This window comes from Homo sapiens, chromosome 19, assembly GCF_000001405.40.
Source record: "Homo sapiens chromosome 19, GRCh38.p14 Primary Assembly".
In the NCBI taxonomy this organism is placed as follows: domain Eukaryota; kingdom Metazoa; phylum Chordata; class Mammalia; order Primates; family Hominidae; genus Homo; species Homo sapiens.
The window spans coordinates 36,386,223-36,403,855 of NC_000019.10; the positions used below are offsets into that span (position 1 = coordinate 36,386,223).

Below are 17,633 nucleotides of genomic sequence, written 5' to 3' on the forward strand. Positions count from 1 at the left end.
ATTGGTTCCTGCTGGCTCAGGTGTGGCTCAGCCTGCCACTGGGCATAAGCTGTAAGCTTGTGGTGGCAGCATCAATGTGGTGCTAATTTGGCAGGAGTGCAGAATGCAAGAGTCACGGGGGCATGGCTTCCTTCACTTAGATTTCAAAGGATGCCTTGGGTAGCCTGGGGGCCCAGTCAGATTTGTCCATGAGCAGAACCACTGCAGAGAGTCCCCACTAGGACAGTGCCTAATGGAGAGAGGCCATCCCCAAGACCCCAGAACTGAAGACCTACCAGTGTAAAACTCCAACCTGTGACAGATGCTCTATGGCATAAGCCCAGCAAAGCCATGGGGGCAAGGCTGTCTGAGAACCAGCCCCCACCCCAGTGTGTCCAAGTAGGTCATAGAGTTAAGGAAGGGTCTTCTGGAGCCTTAAGAGTTAATGTTGTTTGGCTGGGTGCGCTGGCTCACGCCTGTAATCCCAGCACTTTGGAGGCCGAGGCAGGTGGATCACCTGAGGTCAGGAGTTCAAGACCAGCCTGGCCAACATGGTGAAACCCCATCTCTACTAAAAATACAAAAATTAGCTGGGCATGGTGGCAGATGCTGTAATCCCAGCTACTCGGGAGGCTGAGGCAGGAGAATCGCTTGAATCTGGAGACAGAGGTTGCAGTGGGCCGAGATCACGCCATTGCACTCCAGCCTGGGTGACAGAGCGAGACTCCGTCTCAAAAAAAAGAGTTAATGTTGTTTGCACTGTTGGGTTTTGGACCTACTTGGGACCAGTTATCCCCTTTTTCTTCCCTATTTCTTTCAGAATAGGAATGTCTAGGCTATGCCTGTCCCACTGTTGTGTTTTGGGAGTAAATATCTTGCTTGATTTCATAGACTAACAGCTGGAGGAAAATTTGCCTCAGGATAAATCATGCCTTGTCTCACAATAGCTGATCTAGATGAGATTGAACTTCTGAGTTTGTGCTTGAAAGAGTTAAGACTTTGGGGCAATCAGAATGGAGTGTATGTATTTTGCATGTGAGAAGAACATGAATTTGGGAGGCCAGAGAAGCCACGCTATAGTTTGAATGTGTCCCCCAATGCTCACCCCCAAGTTTTAGGGAAAAACTTGATCCCCAATGCAATAGTATTAAGAGGTGGGACCTTTAAGAAGTGATTGGTCCATGAGGACTCTGCTTTCATGAATGGATTAATGCCATTATCACAGGAGTGGGTTCTTTATCAAAAGATGAGTTGGGCTCCCTCTTGCCCTCTCTCTCTCTTATCCTCTCTGCCCTTCTGCCATAAGATGACGCAGCAAGAAGGTCCTTATCAGATGCCAGCCTCTTAATGTTGGAATTCCTACCCTTCAGAACTGCGAGCCAATTTCTGTTCATTGTAAATTACCCAGTCTGTGGTATTCTTTCCTTTTTCTTGAGATGGAGTTTTGCTCCTGTTGCCCAGGCTGGAGTGCAATGGTGCAATCTCAGCTCACTGCAACCTCCACCTCCCAGGTTCAAGCAATTCTTTCTCAGCCTCCCAAGTAGCTGGGATTACAGGCATGCGCCACCATGCCTGGCTAATTTTGTATTTTTAGTAGAGATGGGGTTTCGCCATGTTGGCCAGGCTGGTCTCAAACTCCTAACCTCAAGTGATCCACCCGCCTCAGCCTCCCAAAGTGCTGGGATTCCAGGCGTGAGCCATCACACCCAGCCAGTATTCTTTTATAGGAACACAAAACAGACTAAGAAAAAAGGTAATAATTTTTGTGTTGAATTCCTATTTTTATATGTATTGTTCATTCCTTTTGTAAAGTCAATGAAACTAAGATAAATGAGAATAGAAACCATCTAAAAGATACTGTGACTGAATCATGTCATTTTTTGTAACATTGTTGCATTGTTCAAGTCAGGAAACCTAAAATCTGGATACATATTTAAATGAGAACAGGCCAGGCCCCAGGGTATTCCTAGTAAATCATTTTATGTTTTATAATTGTTTTAATTGACTATTGAGTTCAATTTACTGATACTTTTTTGCGAATGTTTGCATATATCTTAAGTAAAATTGGCCCACATTTTGCTTTTTAGGAGGTATTTATCCTCATCTAATTTTATATTGGGATATTTGCCTTATATAACGATCTAGTAAAATTTTGTTATGGGTTATATATTCTTTAAAGCTTTTTACTGCCTGTAAATCTATAGATTCTAGTTTTTAAAAAACAAGATCATAACTGTACATATTTTCCCCTTTATGGATTAGTTCAGGGTTTTTTTTTGGTATCTGGGGTCAACTTTGATCATTTAGGTTTCTCTAGATTGAAACATATTGAAATATATGTATATAGTAATACTGAAACATTGAAATATATGTATATAGTAATATGTAACTTAAATTTTTAAAAAAACCTCATTATGTAGCTATTTCACTTTTTCCATACATAAAGCTGTGAGTCATGTTTTTCCCTCAATAACTGCCAATTCTATATTAATGTTCTTTTCAAAGAGAATATCCTTAGTCTGTTATTTTATTAACTATTCCATTAATTTATTTGATCATATAAACTACTTGCTGTTATTCACCTTAGTTTTTAAAAATTTCTAGCTTAAGTTAATCCTTATTTTTTCCCATAAATTGCCTGTTATGTGACAGGCACTGTAGGTGTGTGAACAGAATGGTGAACAACACAAATACTTATTTCTCAATCCAGATGTTCTAAATGCATTGCTTTAAATTTTCTACCAAGTAGAGCTTTGGTTGGTGATTTCCCCCAAGTTATCTGTAGGCAACATGTGATCATTCATCACTAAATAGTCTACAATTTCAGACTTGATTTTCTTTCTTTTTTTTTTTTTTTGAGATGGAGTCTCACTCTATTGCCAGGCTGGAGTGCAGTGGTGTGATCTCAGCTCACTGCAACCTCCGCCTCCTGGGTTCAAGCGATTTTCCTGCCTCAGCCTCCCGAGTAGCTGGGACTACAGGCGTGCCACCATGTCCAGCTAATTTTTGTATTTTTAGTAGAGACAGAGTTTCACCATGTTGGCCAGGATGGTCTTGATCTCCTGGCCTCAAATGATCCACCCACCTTGGCCTCCCAAAGTACTGCGATTACAGGCATGAGCCACCACGCCTGGCCCAAACTTGATTTTCTACTTTAAAAAACTTTATTATGGAAAATTTAAAATATATGTAAAGATAGTAAGAACGGCACAATGAACCCTGTGTACCTAATGATCCAGATTAAACATTTACCAACATTTTGCTAATCTTGTTTCATCTATCCCTCCCACCTTTTGTTTTTAAGTATTTAAAAGTAAATCACAGGCATAACATTTCAGCCTTAAATACCTCAGTATGAATCTCTAACACTTAAGGACTCATACACATATACCCATAATGCCATAGTCATGCCTAACATATGAACAATAAATTATTTCGTATCATTTAGTAACCAATCCATGTTTACATTTGTACAATATGTAGAGACATTTTATTCCTTCAAATCTTGTATTGACTATGTTTTCTTTATTTTCTGTATTCCTGATGCTCTGGCCACTTGGGGCCTTGATCCTGGATAGGCTGCCCCTCCCAGGGCAAGCTAATGCATAGATGATAAACTCCACTGCAAGCATGCCTTTCATATACAAACCAACCAATCCAGAGCCCATACTCCCAACTATCTCCTTTACCAAACTCTCATACACCAATTCAATATTCCCCTGCCCTAACTAGACAATTACGAATCCCCCCTAGATCCCAGAGACCAACAAAATTACTCAAACTATTCAATCCTAAGCTTACCAGTGTGCCTACCCCTGCCTTGTCCATTCCTTCCCATGAAAACCCCCAATAAAAGCTCTGGGCCATGCTGTGCTCTCACCCTCTGCCTCCTGATACACCCAGGTGCTTCTTTACGTGACCCTGCATGCCATGCCATGCCTCCCGTTTGTGGGATCTGCGTATAAACTTCTTCCTTCATGACAATAATTTCCATGTCTGCCTGTCTCACCATGATTGATTAAAACAAATCCCAAGCGCATTTTAACACAAGGATCCTAAAATGCTCCATACACTGTATTTGAAGGATACGTTTCTTAGTCTCCTTTAAAGTGTAGGATTCCATTTTTGTCTTTTTTTTTTTTTTTTTTGACATGTATTGGTTAAAAAACTAGGCCATTACTTCTGCAGAATTTCCCAAATTGTGCATTTGGTTGTTTGCTTCTTTGTGTTGTTAATTTGTTCTTTTATTCCCCATGTTTCCTGTAAACTGGTAATTAGGTTTGGAGACTAACTTGTACTTCTCAGTTTTGGGGGAGCCAAGAAAACTTCACAGGTGTCCACTGTGTGTATCCATTTCATCACATCAAGTTCATCTGGCTGATCTCATTTAGAGATGTTAATATAGATTAGTGTCCTGTCATTCTGCTCCATGCATTATAAGCTTCCTATCCATTTTTCACCTAATGGTCTTCGCATCCATTGCTATCACCACGAAAATCCATGATTTTGTAAAATTAAAGAGCGTAGTTTTCAAATTCTATCATTCATTTGATCTTTGTTTTGTTTTGTTTTTTGTTTTTTGTTTGAGACAGAGTCTCGGTCTGTCACCCAGGCTGGAGTGCAGTGGCGCGATCTCGGCTCACTGCAAGCTCCGCCTCCCGGGTTCAAGCCATTCTCCTGCCTCAGCCTCCTGAGTAGCTGGGACTACAGGCGCCTGCCACCACGCCCGGCGAATTTTTTGTATTTTTAGTAGAGATGGGGTTTCACCGTGTTAGCCAGGATGGTCTTGATCTCCTGACCTCACGATCCACCTGCCTCGGCCTCCCAAAGTGCTGGGATTACAGGCTTGAGCCACCGCGCCTGGCCTCCTTTGACCTTTTAACCAGTTGGAATTCTCTAATCAACAACTTTCCTTCACCAACTTTTGGTTGTCTTGAAATATAGTTTGTAAAGGATAGGCAAGGTAAATATTCCATTCTTTTCCTTTATTTGTTAATAATGCTCTAGTATGCTCCATAACTAATCAATGCATTTGGTTCAGGAAAAAAAAAAGCTCAAAGGTTGGAGTGGTCATGATAAAAGGACACAGGAGCCAATTTGAGGGGATTGCCTCAAAATGCTAAATTGACAATTTAGCATTTTTAAAAAACAATGAAGTAGTTTAAAAAATTAATGGGGCTTCATAATACAGGTGACTTTTAATTTCCAAAGTTTCATGTTATCCTTTGTCAATTTTTAATATTGACTGGGGCCAGAGAATACTGATTGTAGTTTTTTTTTTTTTTTGAGACAGGGTCTTGCAGTCACTCAAGCTGGAGTGCAGTGGTACAATCACAGCTCACTGAAGCCTCAACTCTTGGGTTCAAATGATCCTCCCACCTCAGCCTCGAGTAGCTAGGACTACAGGCATGCACCATTATGCCCAGCTAATTTTTAAAGTTTTTTGGTAGAGACAGGGTCTCACCATGTTGCCCAGGCTGGTCTCGAACTTCTGGCCTCAAGCAATCGTCCTTACTTGGCCTCCCAAAGTGCTGGATTTACAGGCATGGGCCACCTCACCTGGTCTAGGGTATCTGTTTTTTAATGAACAAACTGGAAAGGAATTCCTTACTTTCAATATTTTAACGAGAATAAGATATCTCAAGTTCAATGAAGATTAAATGTTGGTGGAAGGCATTTCTATACTCATTATGCCCACAGCCTTTAGTATGAATTATGTAAAAATAAATATTTAGTATGATAATAAAAGAAAGTTTAGTGGCTTAAAACAACAACCATTTTATTATATCTCATGTTTTTGTGGGTCAGAAATTTGGGCCAGGGGCTCAGCTGGTCAATTCTTCCATTCTACATGGCATCAGTTCAGGTTACCAAGTCGCTCACTGGCATTTAGCTGGTGGCTGGTCTGGTGGATCCAAAATTTCACTCAAATGTCTGGTATCTTGGTGGATGTCAAGAAGACAGGGTTCAGCAGGTGCCTCTCCCTCTCTACGTAGTTTCAGGGCCTCTTCATGTGGTCTCTTCAGCAAAGTAGCCAGACTTTGTAACAAGACAGTTCTGTCATTTCATGAGATGAAGTAACCCTACCAGTAAAGTCTGAGTCAAGAAACCAGCACAGCAGTACGTCTACCATATTCTACTGGGCGAAGCAGTCACAGAGGGATGTAGATTCCTGTATACAACAGAGGGATGTAGATTCCACCTCTTGATTGAAAGTGTGTCAAACTGCTGCACTCTTATATGACCATGTCATAAATTAAAAAATTATAGCACAGAGCAGTTAAGCGTCTTGTCCAGTATGACACAAAGTGATGGGATAGGGATGACGGTAAATGTCTTTTTCATTCTTATAACAGGATTAGTTTTTAGAACAAATATGCTGAAGTTTCAGGTTTGAGTGATGATGGACTACAATACATTGTCACACTCTTTTAATGGTATAAAACCTCTAATGCCAACGCAGTTGCATGTATGGAGCAAAATAGATTAATTACTACATTCATAGAATGTTCTATAACACAGAAGTTGAAAAGACTTTCTTAGATTTTTACATTATGAATTTTCAGATGATGAGTAAGGTGTGAATGTTGCCTAAAGGCCTTCTTACATTCCTTACATTCATAGGGTTTCTCACCAGAATGAATTCTCAGATGTTGAATAAGGGATGAATTAAGTCTAAAGGCCTTCCTACATTCCTTACACTCAAAGGGTTTTTCGCCAGTATGAATGCTCTGATGTAGAGTAAGTTTTTGGCGCAATCTAAAGGCCTTGCCACATTCCTTACATTTATAAGGTTTCTCACCAATATGAATACTCTGATGCTGTGTGAGTTGTGAAAGTAGTCTGAAGGCCTTCCCGCATTCCTTACAGTCATAGGGCTTAACACCAATATGAATACTCTGATGTGAAATAAGTTGTGAGTAGCGACTAAAGGCTTTCCAGCATTCCTTACATTCGTAAGGTTTTTCACCAGTATGAATTCTGTGATGGAGAATAAGATGATAACCACGGCTAAAGGTCTTTCCACATTCCTTACATTCATAGGGTTTCTCACCAGTATGAATTCTCTGATGGAGTGTTAGTTGTTGTCGCACTCTAAAGGCCTTCCCGCATTCCTTACATTCATAGGGTTTCTCACCAGTATGAAGTTTGTGATGTACTCTAAGACCAGAGCCACACAAAAAGGCCTTCCCACATTCTTTGCATTCATAGAGCCTGTCAGCACTATTAAGCTTCTGATGCCGAGTCAGGTGTGCGTACTGTCTAAAGGCTTTTCCACACTCTTTACACACATAGGGTTTCTCACCAGTATGAATCCTCTGATGCAGAGTAAGTTGTCCTCGTACCCTAAAAGCCTTCCCACATTCTTTACATTCATAGGGCTTCTCACCAATATGCATTTTCTGATGTACTCTAAGATCTGCACCACATATGAAAGCTTCCCCACATTCCTTACATTCATAGAGTTTTTCACCAGAATGAAGTCTCTGATGTCGAGTAAGGTGTGCAGTCTGTCTGAAGGCCATCCCACATTCCTTACATTCATACGGTTTTTCACCAGTATGAATTCTGTGATGAAAAGTAAGCTGTTGGCGCACTCTGAACGCCTTCCCACATTCCTTACATTCATAGGGTTTATCAACAAAATGAAGTCTCTGATGTGGAGTAACAGATGTGCGTTTCTGGTAAGAGGACACCTTTTCAGATGGCATTTTCACACTACTGAAGTATCCTTCTTGAGGTCTCTCCTGTCCTTCAATTTTTCCTGTGGATTCCCAATCATTTTTTAAAATGAGACCCTTAAGGCCATGGTTTTCAATTCTTTCCATTATCTTCCACTGGGATAAATTTATTTCATAAATGTCATTTTCTAAAGATAACTTCTTGGTCTCATACTTGGTCTCCAAATCTAAAATAAAACAAGAAAGCAAACACATGCTGTTTTCTTTTACTAAAAGAAGCAACATTTCTAATGTAGAAATAAAAGACAACAAAAGTAATCCTTAACCAAAACTCTAAAATATTGTTATACAATTTGGAAAGAAAAAAAAAGCCAAAGGGAACATCAGGAAAAATGAGAGTTCATACAAAATAGCAAGATTGGTGATGAAGTAAACATTTTAAGTCAGTGGTTCTCATATTGAGGTGTGGATCAGAATCACCACATAGCTTGTTACTAACACTGAGGTTTAGACACCACCCAAACCACCTGGATCAGACTCTGCAGTCCTGGAAGGATATTTAATATTCTCTACATGATAATTCTGATGAAGATGAGAGGTCGAGAATCTATACTTAAATTTTTTTCATCTTTCTTCATTCTCAGAATCCAGTCAAGCTCACTGTGGTTAAGAAGGCCTCTGCTTACCTACATCATATGATCTCAAACCAGTGTCCCCTTTACTGCTCCCTGGAGAGGCCTCCTTGCAGACCTCACATGTCCTAACTTACTTCCATCTCTTAGGACTCTTCACAGTCTGTTCTATCTCCCACAAATCTCCTGATTGGGCTCTTTGCATGGCTGGCTCCTTTCATCTTGAGATCTTAGATTAAAAGTCATTTCCTTTAAGGTTGACCCTATTGATAGTACCTAAATCCATGTTGCTATTCTCTATTCCTTGCCTTTATAATAGCTCTCAATTTAAAAATTATATATTTATTAACTTCTCCAATTGTTATACTGCCTATTCTTACCTATAAACCTCCTCAAGGACAGAAACAATCCCTAGTTAACGCTACATTAAGTAATAAATGCTAAGCATATAATAGGTTTTACTCATTTAATTCCCATAGCTACATACTTGTTCTAAATGTATCTCTCTGCCTCTAGTCTCTCATGCCTTACTACAGTGATTAAATATTCTCTTTATTCATCCAGGGCAGCCCAGCTAAATACAAGAATGGAAATAGGTGGCTGTATATTCCTATGCATCTGCCACTGCTTATGCCTTTACCTATGCAGTGCACTGCCCATTTGCCCCTTCACATAGCTATGGGTAACTTTTTCTTTGTCTCTACACCATAGCAAAGGTATTGAGGAGTTCTACCTACTCAATCTTCCCTTCAACTTATTCTATTACTCATTCATTTGACAAATGTTCAACTGGTTTTGTTCTTTCCTCCCATTGCTCAGGTTTTCTCCTTTCCATTCCCTCATAGTCAAGGCCATTCCTGTTTTTTTAGGAAATGTGTATCAGTGATTTTTCGGACAGGAAAACACGTCTATATCTTACTGAAGTTCTTATGAAATTCATGGCACAAAAAGACAGGATATGCCTGTAACTCAGAAATGTGGAAAAAAGTAATGTGCATGTTCAACTGTTGCAGTCATCTGAATGTGAAGGACTTGCTAACAGAAGTCACGTTACATGTAGGCCAGAGGATGGCAAGCCAGCAACAGGAACAGCCAGAGGAAAATCTACAAGCTGAATGAGTTGTGTATGAGAGAGAAACAGGATGAGGTTTTCAATTATGATAAGGTGGTCTCTATTAAAAAGCTGAAATCTAGACACAAAACTAGGAGTTAGCAAAAAAAAAAGGTTGAAATTATATAGACATTTTCTACTAAAACTGGAAATTAATAATAAAATTAAAAGAAACACAAGTAAAATCTACCTGAAAATTCAAAAGTCTATATTAAATAACTCTTAGGTCAATAGGAAAATAAGATCTGAAACAATGTTTTTGATTTTTGCTTGTTTGTTTGTTTTTTGAGACAGAGTCTCACTCTGTCACCCAGGCTGGAGTGCAGTGGTGTGACCTCAGCTCACTGCAGCCTCTGCCTCCTGGGTTCAAGCGATTCTCCTGCCTCAGCCACCTGAGTAGCTGGGATTATAGGCATGTGCCACCACGCCTGGCTATTTTTTTTTTTTTTTTGTATTTTTAGTAGAGACAGGGTTTCACCATGTTGGCCAGGCTAGTCTCAAACTCCTGACCTCAAGTGATCCTCCCACCTCTGCCTTTCAAAGTGCTAGGATTACAGGCATGAGCCAGGCCACCTGGCTGTATTTTTGTTTTTTTGAAAATAATGGGAGGCCAGGTGTGGTGGCTCACACCTGTAATCCCAGCACTTGAGGAGGCCAAGGCAGGAAGATCTCTTCAGCCCAGGAGTTCAAGACCAGTCAGGGCAACATGGCAAGACCTCATCTCTAAAAATAATAAATTGGCTGGGCGCAGTGGCTCACGCACATAATCCCAGCACTTTGGGAGGCCGAGATGGGTGGATCACGAGGTCAGGAGATCGAGACCATCCTGACTAACACGGTGAAACCCCGTCTCTACTAAAAATAGACACACACACAAAAATGAGCTGGGCGGGGTGTCAGGCACCTGTAGTCCCAGCTACTCGGGAGGCTGAGGCAGGAGAATGGCGTGAACCTGGGAGGCGGAGCTTGCAGTGAGCCGAGATCGCGCCACTGCACTCCAGCCTGGGTGAAAGAGCGAGACTCCATCTCAAAAAAAAATACATACATAAATAAAGTAATTAAAAAATTAGCTGGGCATGGTAGTGTGTGCTATAGTCCCAGCTACTTGGGAGACTAAGGTAGGAGAAGTGCTTGAGCCCAGGAGGTCAAGGCTGCAGTGAGCTCTGTCTATGCCACTGCACTCTGGGTTGGGTGACAGAGCAAGACTCTGTTTCTTTAAAAAAAAAAAAAAAATTAAGCCTACATTTTGAAAACCTGCATATAAGTATCTATAAAACATAACCATAGTGCTTATAAGAAAATTTACAAACTAAAATACAGCAATAAAAGTGAAAAACATCGTTAAAAGTCTCATTCAAAAAAAGAAAATAAAATTAAGCTGAAGTAAAGCAGAAGAAAAATATTAACCGATATAAAAGCAGAATTAGTTAGAATACAGAAATAGAAGTAATAAAGCATAAACCAATTTTTTTTTTTTTTTTTTGAGATGGAATTTTGCTCTTGTTGCCCAGGCTGGAGTGCAGTGGCGCAATCTTGGATCGCTGCAACCTCTGCCTCCCGGGTTCAAGCAATCCTCCTGCCTCAGCCTCCTGAGTAGCTGGGATTACAGGCACACACCACCACGCCCAGCTAATTTTTTGTATTTTTACTAGAGACGGGTTTCATCATGTTGGCCAGGCTGGTCTCAAACTGCTGACCTCAGGTGACCCACCCGCCTCGGCCTCCCAAAGTGCAGGGATTACAGGCGTGAGCCACCGCGCCTGGCCTCATAAACCAATTTTTTAATCAACAAAATGTAAGCCATGGTTAAGATAATGAAAACAGCAAGAAAGCACAGACATAGAAATAAGAAAGAACAAATGAAAATGATCATGAATACAGAGGACAGATGACTATGCTAATAAATTTGAAAACACAGCTAAAATGGATAATTTGTTGTTTTTTTGTTTTTTGAGACAGAGTCTCACTCTGTCACCCAGGCTAGAGTGCAGTAGTATAATCTCGGCTCACTGCAACCTGCACCTCCACCCGCTGGCCCCCCGCCACGCCCCACCACCTTCAAGCGATTCTCCTGCCTCGGCCTCCCAAGTAGCTGGGATTACAAGCACACGCCACCACACCCGGCTAAATTTTGTACTTTTAGTAGAGACGGGATTTCACCATCTTGGCCAGGCTGGTCTTGAACTCCTGACCTTGTGATCCACCCGCCTCAGCCTCCCAAAGTGCTGGGATTACAGGCATGAGCAACCATACCCAGCCTAAAATGGATAATTTTTTAGAAAAATATAATTTATCAAAACTGATCATGGAAGAGATAGATGTTAATAAAATGTTTATATAGATCAATTCCCATAGAGCAAATAGAGAATGTGATCAGACTTACCATCCCTTTTCCCAAGAATAAAGCTTTACAAAACTTATTTAAGCTTTAAAGACAGGCTATCAAAATTCTTTTTCAACTAAGAAGATCAGGACTTCCAAACTGTTTTCATAAAGTGATACTGATATAAAGATCGCTCACAAAAAGAAAACTACACACCAATATTCTGAACACTGAGGAAAAAATTCTAAATATCTAATAAAACAGCACATTGAAAGACCCAAGGGGTGTTTATTACAAGAATGTTTTAGGCTGGGCGCAGTGGCTCACACCTGTAATCCCAACACTTTGGGAGGCCAAGGTAGGTGGATCACGAGGTCAGGAGTTCAAGACCTGCCTGGCCAATATTGTGAAACCCTGTCTCTATTAAAAATACAAAAGTTAGCGGGGTGTGGTGGCACATGCTTGTAGTCCCAGCTACTTGGGAGGCTGAGGTAGAAGAATCGCTTGAACCCAGGAGGCAGAGGTTGCAATGAGCCAAGATCACGCCACTGCACTCCAGCCTGGGCAACAAGAGCAAAACTCCATCTCAAAAAAAAAAAAAAATGTTTCAATGGTTCAATATGGGGAAATCTATTAAGACAATTCAATATACCAACAGAGTGAAGGAGAAAAAAAAAATCACACAATCAATTCCATAGATGCTGAAAAGGTAACTAAAAAAAGACCAAAACTGTTCCTGAATTTGTTTTCCCAAGAAACAGCGTCACCCTCTGTCACCACAGCTGGAGTGCAGTGGTGCAATCACAGCTCACTGCCGCCTCTAACTCGTGGGCTCAAGCAATCCTCCTGCTTCATGTTCCTGATTTTTTTTAAAAAAGCTCAGTGAAACTGTAATGATACTTCCCTAAATGATAAAGTATATATTATCTTACCAAAAAGGCAGCTTGCCTAACATTACCACTACTATTAATGATGTAGTATTAGAGTTATTAGTCAACATAATTAAAAAATCAGAAAAAAAAATCAGAGGTAGAAGAATTAGAGGTAAAACTCTATTTCCAAAGGATATGCCTGTCTAATTGGAAAACTCAAAGGTTTAAATATTATAAATGGCAACAAAATTTAGAAAGGTAGCAGGATATAAAATAAAAATACAAACAACAATATCCTTTGAATATACATTTAACAATAAAATATGAGGGGAAAGATCTCACTCATAATACTTACAAAAATTTAAAATATATGGATAACCTTTATGAGGAAAACTTCGAAACACTCATGAAGTATTTAGCATTGGGTATACTGAAGAAATCATATACCAAATCACAAGGAAGAGATTCCTGCACAGAAGCTAAGGGTGCCCCACCAAGGGTGGTCATACTAAGAAGCTGCTGAGCAAGAAGCAGGTGTGGAGACAGTGGCAATACACAGGGTAACTGCTGTGTTCAAAGTGGTCAGATAAACTTAACCCTCAGGTTACCTCTCCAAGGCCAGACAGCAACTACTACTGTTTACCTCCAGAGGAGGCAACAGACAAGAGGTTAGGGTATCAGAGATGGGTCAGTGGCTGGTCATGTCCTGGGGATACAGCCACAGTCGCAGGCCCAGGTGACAAAGCACCCCACCTCACAAGAGGCAACTATGTTTGTTCCAAACAAATTTAGGTGTGTTTCACTTTTTTCCTGAAAGTATCTAATTTAATTTAATAAATGTTAAATAAATTCATGAGTGTAAACTCATGAATAACAAGGAGAAAACAACTGATTCTATGAAAACAAAATTGAACATTTTGGAAAACTGGTGATAAATACAGATTGCTAAAAATCTCAGCTGTCGAAAATTAAGTGTAGGAAATACAATAGTAAAAAATGAAAGAAAACATAACAATCAAGACGTATTCTGCACTCATACTGCAAGTTTGGTTCCTATTCTACTTTAAAAATAAATAAAACTGGAAATAATAGACTTCATATTATGTGTGTGATTTAGAGGAAAAATGAAATACAATGAGACAATGGAAAGGAAGACTTGGACACTATCAAAAATACTGGCAAACAGACATACATTTGAATGTTCTAAGTTAAAATAATACTTTTATGGTATGTACATAAAATATACGACCCATTTTTTTATGACTAACAGACCTATTACCAGTCCTAAATCTGTTGGATCAAAGGATTTCTAGTCCATTAAACACTTCTGATGAGAATGTAGAAAAGTCCTTTTTTTGATCAGGTAAAAATATATAAATACAAAAAATCATAAATGTGATTCCTCTTTGCAGAGAACCACCTTTAATTAAACAGAAAATGTCATATAAATCACTTAGACTTACTCTATTTGGGCACTGTATCAACCATCTTACTTTGTTGATACAAGAAGTTCTGGGATATAGAAGATTTGGTTCCAGGGAAGTCCTATTTGCATTTCAACACAGGGATAATGTACAAAGATCTGAAAATAGTAAAACCCGACATCTAAGGAACTGTACTTCGGAGAATCAATTTTAATCATATCCTGAATAAGCCCATACTGAATGCTAATAATATTCCATTGATGCTCTCACATTCTATTGATCTTCTTTTTCACTGAGAAAACAGCAACAGAAGAATATGCTATCTTCTCTCCACCATCCTGAGCAACCTACCTGCACACATAACTACACTGTTTTTCCCTTTTATTCCCCCTTACTCACTGGATCCTTTCTTACTCCAGTCTCAAGGACAATTATGCCTTTCTCTACTGCACTGATTTCCTCCACCGATAGAATCATTCCTATGAGCACACAAACATGCCCTAATGTCATAAAATACACTGCTTTTTAACCCATATCCCCAGTGTAACTGACAACCCTATTTCCCAGCTTCCCTTCATACATAATTCCTCCAGAGTTGTCTTATACTCATTCTTGTTACTGCCTCACAAACCCTTCTCTCATCAAGTCACTCCACTTGGGCTTTCATCCTGACTCCATTGAAAATCTTTCTTGACAAGCTTACCAGGATTCTCCATCTTGCTGGAACCTGGGGTCAATTCTCAGTCCTCATTCTCTACTCCGTCCATGGTGAAACATTTCCTTTATTTTTATTTTATCTCAATGGCTGCCCCTTCTTTTTTTTTTTTTTTAATTTTTTTAGTGGCTGCTCCTTCTTTATCTCTTTTGTTGTCCCTCTTTCCCTCTTTCAAAGGTCTACAGGGTGGAGTGACCCATGAGTCAGTTCTCGGGCCTGCCTGCCTTCCCTAGTTGGTCACATCCAGATCCATGAATGTAAATTCCAATCATACAGACAGCCAAACATAAACCAGGCTGTAATCGCTCCAAGTTCCAGGTGTACGTATTCAACTGCCTACGCAACATCTCAAACTGGACAGATAATAATCATCACAAACTTAAAATATCTTAAACTGAAACTCTTAGTGCCAACTTTCCAACTTGCTCTTCCTATTTTCCTCACTTCAGTAAATTCTGCTTCTATTCACCCAGTTGTTTAAGCCAACACTCATTTCTTCTCCTTTTATATCACTCCTTCCCACTTAGTTCACTTATAATCCTATCAGCATGTTCTTTTGACAGCGCCTTCATACACATCATGAGCCTAACAGCTTCTTACTACTTCCTAACAATGCCATTCTTATCCAAACCACCACCCTGTCTAACTCAACAACTGAAACTGCCTCAGTATCGGTGCTTCCTGCTTTTGCACTCAACCGGAGAAATAATTTTAGAATACAAGCAGCCCGTGGCTTTCAATTTCTCTTAGTGGTTACATTACCGGGTCCTTGCCTAACTCTGATCTCAGCTTCTTACTTTCCCTTTCCCTGGTCTGACCATAATGGCCGTCTTTGTTATTCCTCAGACTAGCAAGGCTAATGCCGCACTCAGACCTTTTCTATCAGCTCATAATGCTCTTTTCCCAGAAAATGACATGTCTTGAGCCCTTACTTCATGTCTCTTCTCAAATATCACCTCAAGAAAGTCATCTGTCCACTTTTCTGAAGGCATGTTATTTATACTTTAATCAAACTTTCTTAAAGGAAGAATAGAAAAGAAAGAAAAAAAATACATGGTCTTGTTTAAGATGTCTAACTCTGAGCCAACAGTTACTATTTTGGCTAAATGCTTCCTGACTAAATGGATATTATCTTATTCACTTGGAACCTCTGCAATACATTTTGAGTGTTAATAATTGCAAATGTCATTTAATTACCTGAATGTGAATTTTAAAATAGATTAGGAGGCCGGGCACAGTGGCTCACGCCTGTAATCCCAGCACTTTGGGAAGCCAAGGTGGGCGGATCACAAGGTCAGGAGATCAAGACCATCCTGGCTAACACGGTAAAACCCCATCTCTACTAAAAATACAAAAAAATTAGCCAGGCATGGTGGCGGGCGCCTGTAGTCCCAGCTACTTGGGAGCCTGAGGCAAGAGAACGGCGTGAACCCAGGAAGCGGAGCTTGAAGTGAGCTGAGATCACGCCACTGCACTCCAGCCTGGACAGAAGAGCGAGACTCCATCTCAAAAAAAAAAAAAAAAAAAGATTAGGGATAAGAGGGAAAAAGCATGTTTTTCTTTCTTTTGGTAGAAGGTTAAGTCAGAAGATAGAACATTACAAACAGTGTAGGCACTGAAATGGTCCTATGGTTATAAAATAAGAACTAGTACCCTAAAATAAGTGTCCTTAGCCAGACCTGAATATACAGAGAACAAAATACAAAATTACAACATATGTCTCTGAATAAAAACATTTTTAAAGACCTTTTGTGGCCGGGTGCGGTGGCTCACGCCTGTAATTCCAGTACTCTGGGAGGCCGAGATGGGCGGATCATGAGGTCAGGAGTTCAAGACCAGCCTCAGCAGCATGGTTAAACCCCATCTCTACTAAAAATATAAAAATTAGCCAGGCATGGCCAGGCGCGGTGGCTCACGCCTGTAATCCCAGCACTTTGGGAGGCTGAGGCGGGCAGATCACGAGATCAGGAGATTGAGACCATCCTGGCTAACACGGTGAAACCCCAACTCTACCAAAAAAAAATACAAAAAAATTAGCCGGGCGTGGTGGCGGGCGCCTGTAGTTCCAGCTTCTCGGGAGGCTGAGGCAGGAGAATGGCATGAACCTGGGAGGCGGAGCTTGCAGTGAGCAAGATCACGCCACTGCACTCCAGGCTAGGTGACAGAGCAAGACTCCGTCTCAAAACAAAAAACAATAACAACAACAAAAAAAATTATCCAGGCATGGTGGCAGGCACCTGTAATCCCAGCTGCTCAGGAGACCGAGTCAGGAGAATCACTTGAACCTGGGAGGCAGAGGTTGCAGTGAGCTGAAATCACACCACTGCACTCCAGCCTGGGGAACAGAGTAAGACTCCATCTCAAAAAAAAAAAAAAAAAAAGGCCAGGCGCGGTGGCTCACACCTGTAATCCCAGCACCTTGGGATCCAGCGGGTGGATCACAAGGTCAGGAGTTCAAGACCAGCCTGGCCAAGATGGTGAAACCCCATCTCTACAAAAAATACAAAAAATTAGCCAGGCATAGTGGCACACGCCCGTAATCCCAGCTACTCCAGAGGCTGAGGCAGAGAACTGCTTAAACCTGGAGGGGCAGAGGTTGCAGTGAGCCAAGATCACGCCACTGCACTCCAGCCTGGGCGACAGAGCGAGACTCCGTCGCAAGAAAAAAAAAAAAAAAAACCTTTTGAAACAAGAGCTGCAAAGAGAGATGAAAACAGCACAGACAAGGTAAACAAAAGACCATGAGATCATTCTCTCTAGAGTCTATTATATCCATGTTTCTTCTTAATGTGAAGATAGATGAATACATAGATAGAAAAATCAAATAAGAATGATATTCTGTGAACTAGGAGCTATCTTCTAGAATAATTCATATGAAACTTTAGTTGCTGATAA

General features: G+C 40.5%; 1 protein-coding gene across 4 annotated transcripts in view; it reads right to left on the minus strand.

Annotated features, from left to right (window-relative positions):
- The window catches only part of ZFP82 (ZFP82 zinc finger protein), a 35,525-nt gene that overhangs the window by 3,103 nt on the left and 14,789 nt on the right, over window positions 1–17,633 (minus strand). For 2 of the 4 annotated variants that reach the window (NM_133466.4, NM_001321917.2), the window contains exon 5: window positions 2,408–7,888. The exons of the other annotated variants lie outside the window; for them this stretch is intronic. In NM_133466.4, the coding sequence (NP_597723.1) occupies window positions 6,519–7,888 (1,370 nt within the window). In that variant the 3' untranslated portion in view covers window positions 2,408–6,518. Of the gene's footprint in view, window positions 1–2,407; window positions 7,889–17,633 lie in introns of those variants that run through there. 4 annotated transcript variants of the gene reach the window in all.